General features: G+C 49.0%; 2 annotated features.

Moving 5' to 3' along the window:
- Window positions 6,810-7,447: an enhancer, noted in NCBI's record as "NANOG-H3K27ac-H3K4me1 hESC enhancer chr17:41392761-41393398 (GRCh37/hg19 assembly coordinates)". NCBI's record gives its function as "activates a minimal SCP1, AML or CMV promoter by ChIP-STARR-seq in naive H9 embryonic stem cells {active_cell/tissue: H9 hESC(naive)}" and the evidence as "EXISTENCE:reporter gene assay evidence [ECO:0000049][PMID:30033119]".
- Window positions 7,448-8,080: an enhancer, noted in NCBI's record as "NANOG-H3K27ac-H3K4me1 hESC enhancer chr17:41393399-41394036 (GRCh37/hg19 assembly coordinates)". NCBI's record gives its function as "activates a minimal SCP1, AML or CMV promoter by ChIP-STARR-seq in naive H9 embryonic stem cells {active_cell/tissue: H9 hESC(naive)}" and the evidence as "EXISTENCE:reporter gene assay evidence [ECO:0000049][PMID:30033119]".

An 11,606-nucleotide genomic window follows, 5' to 3' on the forward strand; every position in this document is an offset into this window, starting at 1 on the left:
CTCTACTAAAAATACAAAATTAGCCGGGCGTGGTGGCACATGCCTGCAATCCCAGCTACTCGAGAGGCTGAGGCAGGAGAATCGCTTGAACCCAAGAGGTGGAGGTTGCGGTGAGCTGAGATTGCGCCATTGCACTCCAGTCTGGGCAACAAGAGCAAAACTCTGTCTCAAAAACAAAAAACAAAAAAAATCATCTCCATTATTAATTGTACAGATATGATCAATTGCTCTACCTCTATTATCAGTTCACTCACCAGCAAAATGGGGTAATAATACCTCCATCCTGGAGGTATTGGTATATTAAAAGAAGTAATCCGGCCAGGTACATTAGCTAACACCTGTAATCCCAGCACTTTGAGACGCCGAGGCAGGCAGATCACCTGAGGTCAGGAGTTCAAGACCAGCCTGGCCAATATGGCGAAACCCCGTCTCTACTAAAAATACAAAAATTAGCTGGGTATGGTGGCTGCTGCCTGTAATCCCAGCTACTCAGGAGGCTGAGGTAGGAGAATTGCTTGAATCCCAGAAGTGGAGGTTGCAGTGAGCCGAGGGAGATGGCGCCACTACAGTCCAGCTTGGGCGACAGAGCAAGTCTTTGTCTCAAAGAAAAAAAAAAAGAGTAATCCATTGTCAAGCACAGGGTTTAATAAACAGAGATAAACAGAGGCTTTTATTGTAGTATTTCATGACGTTTAGGATGTCATGGATTGTGAGAGGCACCATTATTTTATGTACCCCTCAGAAAGAAAGGAAGAAAGGAGAAAAAAAAAAAAGATGCTGACATTTAAACAGCTGTAGTGCTTTTTCCTGGCACTGGATGTAAGATGCATCCTGGTTTCTGAGGTCTAAAAATATGGAACAAAAATGTGCCCTCTGAATGAATGAAATCATCCAGGCGTGGTAGCTCACACCTGTAATCTCAGCACTTTGGAAGACCAAAGTGGTAGATCATTTGAGGCAGGAGTTCAAGACCAGCCTGGGCAACATAGGGAAATCCCTGTCTTGACAAAAAATTTAAAAAGTAGTCAGGTGTGGTGGCGCATACCTGTAGTCTCAGCTTCTCACTTCCCAGGAGGCTGAGGTAGAAGGATTGCTTGATCCCTGGGGACAGAGCAGGATCCTGTCTCAAAAAAAAAAAAAAAAAAGTGAAAGCAGGCACCATCATGGAGTGTGGTCACTTGGAAGCCTGGGCCTTGAGCCTTGGTGTCATCCATCACCTGGAAGACCCTGAACTTTCCCTCTCTGGGCCTGAATTTTCTCATAAACCAAATAAGCACAGAATGGATGTTTCCTCTGGCCTGCTGGGAGGTCATAACAAACTGAGAGGCAAGGGCTGCTTTGCTGCTCTCTGCTGCCCCCTGCTACTGCAAGGAGAGAATCGGATCTTGGGGATGACCCAGCGCTCCTAGAGGTGGTAAAGTGCAGCAAGCTGATCCCTGATATCCAATAACCTTGTGATTTTTTTTTTTTTTTTGAGACAGCGTCTCGCTCTGTTGTCCAGGATGGAGAGCAGTAACGTGATCACAGCTCACTGTAACCTCAAATGCCTGGACTCAAGCGATTCTCCCATCTCAGCCTCCTGAGTAGGTAGGACTACAGGTGTGTGCCACTACACCTGGCTAATATTTTTGTTTTTTGTAGAGATGGGGTCTCACTGGCTGGGCGCGGTGGCTCACACCTATAATCCCAGCTCTTTGGGAGGCTGAGGTGGGCGGATCACGAGGTCAGGAGATCGAGACCATCCTGGCTAACATGGTGAAACCCCGTCTCTACTAAAAATACAAAAAATTAGCCAGGTGTGGTGGTGGGCGCCTGTAGTCCCAGCTACTCAGGAGGCTGAGGCAGGAGAATGGCGTGAACCCGGGAGGTGGAGGTTGCAGTGAGCCGAGATTGCGCCACTGCAGTCCAGCCTGGGCGACCGAGCAAGACTCCGTCTCAAAAAAAAAAAAAAAAAGATGGGGTCTCACTGTGTTGCCCAGGCTGGTCTCAAACTCCTGGGCTCAAGTGATCCTCCCACCTGGGCCTCCCAAAGTGCTGCTGGGATTACAGGCATGAGCCACTCCACATGGGCCCTCTTGTGATCTTAATCATTGTGCCAGGCTCTTCACATTCCATCCTCAGCATTCAGGTTTCCACCTTCTTCAATATGTATCACAGAGGTAAGTCAGTCTCTTGGAAAATTTGGTTAGCTCGAATTTCCTTCCTGAAACTCAGCCTTCTCATCTGTTCAATGGAGATTATAAACCCTGACCCACTTTCCTCTAAGGTGGATGAGAATAAAGATCCACTGATCATAAAGATATAAAATTGCCAGCCAAAAGTGGGGGTCCCTTTTATACTCTGGGAGGAGGAAGCAGAAGGCTGAGGATTTTGGGAAGTCAGTCTAGGCAGCCTCAATTTCATCAAGTATAAAATGGGATAAATAACATGTTGCATTTGGGATTTTTTTTTTTCTGTCGCCCAGCCTGGAGTGTGCTGGTCCAGTCACATCTTGCTGCAGCCTTGACCTCCTGGGCTCAGGTGATGCTCTTGCCTCAGCCTCCCAAGTTGCTGGCACCACAGGCATGCACTACCATGCCCAGCTAACTTTTATTTTATCTTATTTTATTTATTATTACTATTTTTTTTTTTGAGACAGAGTCTGGCTCTGTCGCCCAGGCTGGAGTGCAGTGGCGCAATCTCAGCTCACTGCAAGCTCCGCCTCCCGGGTTCACGCCATTCTCCTGCCTCAGCCTCCGGAGTAGCTGGGACTACAGGCGCCCGCCACTACGCCCAGTTAATTTTTTGTATTTTTAGTAGAGACGGGGTTTCACCATGTTAGCCAGGATGGTCTCGATCTCCTGACCTCGTGATCCGCCCACCTCGGCCTCCCAAAGTGCTGGGATTACAGGCGTGAGCCACCGCGCCCGGCCTATTATTACTATTTTTAATAGAGATGAGGTCTCACTATGTTGCCCAGGCTGGTCTTGAACTCCTGAGCTTAAGTGGTCCTCCTGCCTTGGCCTCCCAAAGTGCTAGGATTATAGGTGTGAACCACTGTACCTGGCCTTATTTTTATTATTATTATTTGTAGAGATGAGGTCTCACTATGTTGCCCAACCTGGTCTCAAACTCCTAGGCTCAAGTGATCCTCCTACTTTGGCCTCCCAAAGTGCTGGGATTACAAGGGTAAGCCACCGCACCTGGCTGCATTTGGGATTGTTGAAACACCGAAAAGAAAATGTAGATACTCAGTGGCATACAGTGGGCTCAGAAAACAATACCCTAAAATGAAGGCCTCAGCAGCAGCCTCAGAAGTAAAAAGTTTTTCTCTGACTCCCCCAGTCCCATTCTCCCCTGAAGCTAGCCATAGACACAAAAATCCCTCTTCCCTGAGGCAGGTCATGGAAACCAGAAGCCCTTTTCTCCAAAGCCAGCCTGCAAGTGTAAAAATATTACTCTGGTTTTCCCTCTGTCCTATCTGTAAAAACTGGCCACAAAGAAATTACCTGACCTACTTTGTTTGACTGTAGGTCATAAGACCCCCATTCCACAGAGCATCCTGCCCGACACGCAGAAGGAAGGAATACATGCTCAGAGAAGCCAACAAGGATCTGGACAGGCCAGGCATGGTGGCCCACGCCTGTAATTCCCACACTGTGGGAGGCTGAGGCAGGAGGATCGCTTGAGGCCAGGAGTTCAAGATCCTCTATCTGGCAAAAGTCTAAAGGAGAAAGTGACAGACAGCAACAGCTCGTCATGGAAAGTGTGGCTGAAGACAAAGAGATGAAAAAGGCTTCAAGAAATTTCCACTTTGAGTCTCAAAAGGCAACATAGCAAGACACTGTTCCTTTCTTTTTTTTTTTTTTTTGAGACGGAGTCTCGCTCTGTCGCCCAGGCTGGAGTGCAGTGGCGCGATCTTGGCTCACTGCAACCTCCGCCTCCTGGGTTCACGCCATTGTCCTGCCTCAGCCTCCCAAGTAGCTGGGACTACAGGTGCCCACCACCGCGCCCGGCTAATTTTTTTGTATGTTTAGTAGAGACAGGGTTTCACCATGTTAGCCAGGATGGTCTCGATCTCCTGACCCTGTAATCCGCCCACCTTGGCCTCCCAAAGTGCTGGGATTACAGGCGTGAGCCACTGCGCCCGGCCAGCAAGACACTGTTTCTACAAAAAATTAAAAACTTAAAAAACTTAGCTGGGTGTGGTGGCACACACCTGTAGTCCTAGCTACTTAGGAGGTTGAGATGGGAGGATCTCTTGAGCCCAGGAGTTTGAGGTTACCGTGAGCTATGATCACGCCACTGCACTCCGGTTTGGGCAATAGAGTGAGACTGTGTTGGGAAAAAAAATAAAATAAAACCTGGACAGACAGGAGCCTTAGGGATTTCCCCACTCATTGTATTCTCCTTACAGCATGTCCTCTTGTCCAGTCATATTTCTACATGGCCTTCCATACTTTATTGACCCTAAGCATTAAAACGGACAATTTTCTCTGTATCTTTGGGTCTTTGCTCTGAAGACTCTCATGTATACCATTAAAAACAAAATTATATGCCTTTTCTCCTGTTAATCTGCCTCGTGCCAGTGATTTTTCACTGAACCTTCACAGGGCAAAGACGGAAGTTTCCCCTTGGCTCCCCTAAGTACTCAAAAACAATACCGGGGACTGGGAATGATGGCTGATGCCTGTAACCCCAGGACTTTGGGAGGCTGAGGAAGGATGATTGCTTGAGCTCAGGAGTTTGAGATCAGCCTGGGCAACATAGAGAGAACCCATCTCTACTAAAATAAAAAAACAAAAAACAGTACCTGGGAAACCAAATTAGCAAGCAAAAGATGGCCTGATAAACACGAAAATGAGCAGAGAGGCAGTAAAATAGTGAGCCCTGCAGGGTCATGATACTTACCACAAGCCAGGAGATTTACTAATCACTTTCTATTGTAGGAAATATTAATATATTTAATATTCATTCATTCATTCAAAAAATATATACTGAGTGGCTACTATATGCCAGGCATTGTTCAGGGTGCCAGTCATATAAAAGTGAACAAGCGACAAAGATTCCTGCTCTGGAGCTTACATTCTACTATGCTAAAATGCAATAAACGTATCATTGTATAAAATGTGGGGTGACAGGTGCCACCGAGTAGAATAAAGCCAGGTAAAAGAGAACAGAGACCCTGTGTGGATGAGGGTAGAGAACGCCAGGACTACAGACTAGATTTTAAGATTCCTGTTTTATACAGGAAAAAAAATAAGCCTCAGAGGAGTGACTTGCCTAAGCTGTTTTCCCTTGCTTTTTTTTTTTTTTTTTTTTTTTTTTGATACGGCGTCTCGCTCAGTTGCCCAGGCTGGAGTGCAGTGGGTGGCATGGTCTTGGCTCATTGCAATCTCCACCTCCCAGGCTCAAGCAATTCTCCTGCTTCAGCCTCCCGATTAGCTGGGATTACAGGCACCCACCAACCATGCCCGACTTTTTTTTTTTTTTTTTTTTTTTTGAGACGGAGTCTTGCTCTGTCTCCCAGGCTGGAGTGCAATGGTGCCATTGTGGCTGACTACAGCCTCCGCCTCTGGGTTCAAGCGATTCTCCCACCTCAGCCCCCCAAGTAGCTGGGATTACAGGTGCCCACCACCACGCCTGGCTAATTTTTTGTATTTTTGGTAGAGAGGAGGTTTCACCATGTTGGCCAGGCCAGTCTCGAACTCCTGACCTCAGATGATCTGCCCGCCTAGGCCTCCCAAAGTACTGGGATTACAGGTGTGAGCCACCCTGCCTGGCTATTTGTTTTTTTTTTTTTTTTTTTTTTTTTTGAGATAGGGTCTCAGTCGGTCCCCCAGGTTGGAGTGGAGTGCAGTGGCCTGATCACAGCTCATTGCCACTTTGGCCTCCTGGGGCTCAAGCTGTTTTCCCAGGGCTCAAGTGGTCCTCCCAGGGCTCAAGTAGTCCCCCAAGCTCAGTCTCCCCAGTCACTGGGACTACAAGCCTGCTCCACCACGCCCGGTAGATTTTCTGGTTTTTTTTTTTTTTTTTTTTTTGTAGAGATGGGGCTCTCACTTTGTTGTCAAGGCTGGTCTCGAACTCCTGGGCTCAAGTGATCCTCCCATTTCGGCCTCCCAAAGTGTTGGGATTACAGGCATGAGCCACAGTGCCAGGGCCGAGGCTCTTCTCAACTGCTGCAGCAGACAGCTTGGTTCTTGCCTCTCTGCAGACAGAAGACTTGTGTCTCAGGCTCAGTGCTTTGTCTCACAGAGTGCTGGACACACAAGAACAAATTATCTTTCTCTAGGTATCCATTTTTGGCTCTAGGCTCTCTGCTTCACAGGTGGATGGAGTGATGGGGAAGATGCTGTGGCCAGTGCACCTAGGTTCAAATCCTACCTCCCTGTGGTCTTGGGCAAGCTGCTTAACCTCTCTGCCTCAGCTTCTGCATCTGTATGTAACTTTTGCAAGTTTGTAATGAGGAGAGCACTTAACACAGAGCCTAAGCCAAACAGTAAATGCTTCCTATTTTATTGTCTCAGTCATTTCACAGTCATGACCCCTTCTGGGGAAGCTTGTGGGAAACTCTGACTCACATTGCAGACTACCGAGCCACGGTCCCTTCCTCGGCTCCGTTTCTGCTCCCTCCACCCCACGAGGTAGGCATTGGTGTTTCTGCTTTCCAGCTGGGGAAACAGAGTCCGGAGGTTAAGTGGTTTGCCCCCAGTGCCCCGCCGACAGGGCAAGGCGCGCGGACGGGGCTGTGACTCCCAGGGCGGCAGCCCCCTCGGCGCGGTCTCGCGACCCGACTTCTCTCTGTGGCCCCGGGAAGGGGGTGGGGGGCGGCGGGGCCTCGTCGGCTCCGCCTTCGCTTGGGACCCAGCCAGGCCGCGGGACGCTCCAGTCTTTACAGTGATGACCTGATGGCTTTCCTCAAAAGAGCTCGGACCACTCTCCTCCAACTCCCTTCCACAGACCGCTAGTGACGCCCACGCGCATTTCCCCCTGACCACTGTCTTGACCCCCGGATGGTCCAGACCGGGAGCCCCAGCCCAGCTTCGGCCGGCCGCTGCGAGCAGAGCTGGACCGCAGCGGGGACTCAGATCGCCGTAGCCACGCCTACCCACGCGGGAAAGGGCGAGACATGCAAATTAGAAATGGCGCTTCAGCCACGGGGCAAAAACAGAGCTGAGAATTCACTTGAAAACGTAGCCAACTATAAACCATGCCCAAAGGCTTGCTGTTTTCAACAGGCCTATTGAGAAACGAAGTTGTCAATTGCCCCTATCGTTGCTCACCGTGGGTGTAATATGGTGATATGAGGGTGGTAATGGCGAAGGCAAAGATGCTGGATTCGACAAATTTTTCCAGATCTCTGTTTGTGGTGAGGTGTAATTATGTGTGTTTTTCCTAGCTTAGTGTGTGCGTTCTTTCTTTTTGTTTCTGAGAATGCTGTGTTGAGGGGGTTTTTGGAGAAAACGGTGGGGTTGGGAGGTTGTAGTACTTCAAACAAAGGTGAACGATTTTTTAGGTGAGTGAGCGTTGTGTTTTAAAGGTTATACTTTGTTATATTCACGTTCTTATTGCGTTATATCATGCTTCAGAATTGGTCGTCAATATCCTTGTCTAGGTGAGAGTATGTGTGACCAGCCCCCTCCCCGCCTTTTTTTTTTTTTTTTTTTGTCTTATAGAGTGTCACTTTTGTCATCCAGGCTGGAGTGCAGTGGCGGGATGAGAGTTCACTATGATCTCGACTTCCTGGACTCAGATGGTTCTCCCACTTCAGCTTCCGGATCTAATATTTCAATAATTTCAAGAACACTGCATTCATTCCTCTCCACATGAGCAATTGCCAAAAGTAGGCTTTACATTTTTGCTCGTTTTCTTTTGGGTCTGTGGCTAGTCTCCACTTCCTTTTTTTTTTTTTTTTTTTTTTTTTTTTTTTTAAGATAGTCTCACTCTGTCCCCCACAACCCCCAACCCCGGCTGGAGTGCAGTGGCCAGATCTGGGCTTACTGCAACCTCTGCCTCCCAAGTTCAGGTGATTCTTGTGCCTCAGCCTCCTGAGTAGCTGGGATTACAGGCACGTGCCCACCATGACTGGCTAATTTTTTGCATTTTTAGTAGAGACGGGGTTTTGCCATGTTGGCCAGGTTGGTCTCGAACGCCTGGCCTCAAAGTGATCCACCCGTTTGGGCCTCCCAAAGTGCTGGGATTACAGGCCTGAGTTACTGCACCCGGCCTGTCCCCGAAATTCGATTGCAGCCGGCGATAAAGCTTTTTTTTACCCCGCTTCTCGGCAAAGCGTTGTGTTTTTATTTTAGCAGACTCACCTGGCACTAAGGACTGCTCTGGTGGTCTTCGGAGGCTCCTGGGATCGACTGCTTGGACAGAGGTGACATCACCCAATTAGTGAGAGCCAAGACCTAAGGCTGCAGCTGCCTTCCAGGTATCTGCCACTCACTGTAGAACGATCCCACAGTTCTGCATTTCTGCCCTATGCCCGCCAGTCACAAGAAGCTCCGGTCTCTTATCCCATGTCTGATTCCTGAAACCTTGCTAATTTTCCTACCATCCTCCCTATTCCCAGCCTCCTTTCTTCTTCTTCTTCTTCTTCTTCTTTTTTTTTTTTTTTTGAGGCTGAGTTTCACTCTTGTTGCCTAGGCTGGAGTGCAATGGTGCGATCTCGGCTCACTGCAACCTCCACCTCCTGGGTTCAAGCGATTCTCCTGCCTCAGCCTCCAGAGTAGCTGGGATTACAGGCATGTGCCACCACGCCCGGCTAAATTTTTTTTGTATTTTTAGTAGAGATGGGGTTTCTCCATGATGGTCAGGCTGGTCTCAAACTGCCAAACTCAGGTGATCCACCCGCACTGGCCTCCCAAAGTGCTGGGATTACAGGTGTGAGCCACTGTGCCCGGCCCCCCTTTCTTCGTTTGCTCTATCCTCCCGCTGAAGACATTGCTTTCCTCTTTCTGTTTGCTCTCCCCACCTCTCACTCCATTGTGCCTTGCACCTGTGCTGCCCACTACCTCTCCTTGTTGCTGTTGTCTCTCCTGGCTGCTGGTCACTCCATGCCAACACTTACTTTATTCCTTGAAGGTTTTTAGCTCCTGGAGCACTGACTTTCTCCAGCATAACTCCTGTCATCAATCGACACCCTGGTTCCCCAATTCCTTGACCTCAGCTTTGACTACCCCAGCCACTCACTTCCCTGGTCTAACCCTAGGTCATGTCATTGTCGATTGCCATAACCCCATCCACTTCGAGGGTCACACTCTCCAATCACCTCTACCATCCCTCCCTCTGCTACCCTTTGGTACCTGTCACCCCACTCCCCACCCCCTCAACCCGCATCCCCAAAGTCCTTGGGCCCACCTCCAACTAATCTAACTGCACCAACTCTAACAAACTGCACCTGTGTCACTGAGTGTAACTGGTGGAAGCTGACTGGGCTCACCTTAACCCTGGGCAAGCTGGGGGAAAATAGACATCCCACATTTGCTACCTGGGGCCCAATAAGTCTGCATTAGTCTGTGCTCGTGCTGCTAATAAAAACATACCGGAGACTGGGTAATTTATAAAGAAAAAGAGGTTTAATGGACTCACAGTTCCACGTGGCTGGGGAAGCCTCACAATCATGGTGGAAGGTGAAAGGCATGTCTTACATGGTGGAAGGTGAGAGAGAACTTGTGCAAGGGAACTCCCCTTTATAAAACCATCAGATCTTGTGAGACTTATTCACTATCATGAGAACAATATGGAAAAGTCCTGGCCCCATGATTCAATTACCTCCCACTGGGTCCCTCCCATGACACGTGGGAATTATGGGAGCTACAATTCAAGATGAGACTTGGGTGGGGACACAGCCAAACCATATCATTTTGCTGTAGCCCCTCCCAAATCTCATGTCCTCACATTTCAAAACCTATCATGCCTTCCCAACAGTCTCCCAAAGTCTTATTTCAGCATTAACTCAAAAGTCTACAGTCCAAAGTCTCATCTGAGACAAGGCAAGTCCCTTCCGCCTACCAGCCTGTACAATCAAAAGCAAGTTAGGGTCGGGCATGGTGGCTCATGCCTGTGATCCCAGCACTTTGGGAGGCCAAGGCAGGCAGATCATCTGAGTTCGGGAGTTTGAGACCAGTCTGGCCAACATAGTGAAACCCCATCTCTACTAAAAATACAAAAAAATTAGCCGGGCGTGGTGGCACATGCCTGTAATCCCAGCTACTCGAGAGGCCGAAGCAGGAGAATCGCTTGAACCCAGGAGGCAGAGGTTGCAGTGAGCCAAGATCATGGCACTGCACTCCAGCCTGGGTGACAGAGTGAGACTCTGTCTCAAAAAGAAAAAAAAAAAAGCAAGTTTGTTAATTCCTAGATACAATGAGGGTACAGGCATTGAGTAAATACAGCTGTTCAAAATGGGAGAAATTGGCCAAAACAAAGGGGTTACAGATCTCCTATGCAAGTCTGAAGTCCAGTGGAGCAGTCAAATCTTTTTTTTTTTTTTTTTTTTTTTGAGATGGAGTCTTGCTCTGTCACCCAGGCTGGAGTGCAGTGGCATGATCTTGGCTCACTGCAACCTCCACCTCCCGGGTTCAAGCAATTCTTCTGCCTCAGCCTCCTGAGTAGCTGGGATTACAGGCACATGCCACAATGCCTGGCTAATTTTTTTTGTATTTTTAGTAGAGACGGAGTTTCACCATGTTGGCCAGGCTGGTCTTGAACTCCTGAACTCAAGCGATCCTCCCACCTTGGCCTCCCAAAGTGCTGGAATTACAGGAGTGAGCCGACATGCCTGGCAGCAGTCAAATCTTAAAGCCCCAAAATGATTTCCTTTGACTCCATGTCTCATGTCCAGGTCACACTGATGCAAGAGGTGGGCTCCCATGGCCTTGGCAGCTCTGCCCCTGTGGCTTTGCAGGGTATAGCCCCCCCTCCCAGCTGCTTTCACAGGCAGGCCTTGAGTGTCTGTGGCTTTTCCAGGAGCAAGGTGCAAGCTGTCAGTGGAGCTACCATTCTGGGGTCTGGAGGACAGTGACTCTTTTCTTGCAGCTCCACTAGGCACTGCCCCAGTTGGGAGTCTGTGTGAGGGCTTGCACCCCACAATTTCCCTTTGCACTGCCCTAGCAGTGGTTCTCCATGAGGGCTCCACCCCTGCAGCCCACCTCTACCTGGACATCCAGGCATTTCTACACATCCTCTGAAATCTTGGCAGAGGTTCCCAAGCCTCAATTCTTGACTTCTGTGCACTCGCAGGCACAACACCACATGAAAGCTGCCAAGGCCTAGGGTTTGCACCCTCTGAAGCCACAGCCTGAGCTGCACCTTGGCCCCTTTTAGCTGTGGCTGGAGCAGCTGGGATACAAGGCACCAAGTCCCCAGGCTGCACAGAGCAGGGGGGCCCTGGGCACAGCCCATGAAACCATTTTTTCCTACTAGGCCTCCAAGCCTGTGATGGGAGGGTCTGCCACATGAAGGTCTCTGACATACCCTGGAGACATTTCCCCCCACTGTCTTCATGATTAACATTTGGCTTCTCGTTACTTATGCAAATTTCTGAGGCCAGCTTGAATTTCTCCTCTGAATTTTTTTTTTTTTTTTTTTTTTTTTGAGATGGAGTCTTGATCTGTTGCCAG

Source organism: Homo sapiens, chromosome 17, assembly GCF_000001405.40.
Source record: "Homo sapiens chromosome 17, GRCh38.p14 Primary Assembly".
Classification (NCBI taxonomy): Eukaryota; Metazoa; Chordata; class Mammalia; order Primates; family Hominidae; genus Homo; species Homo sapiens.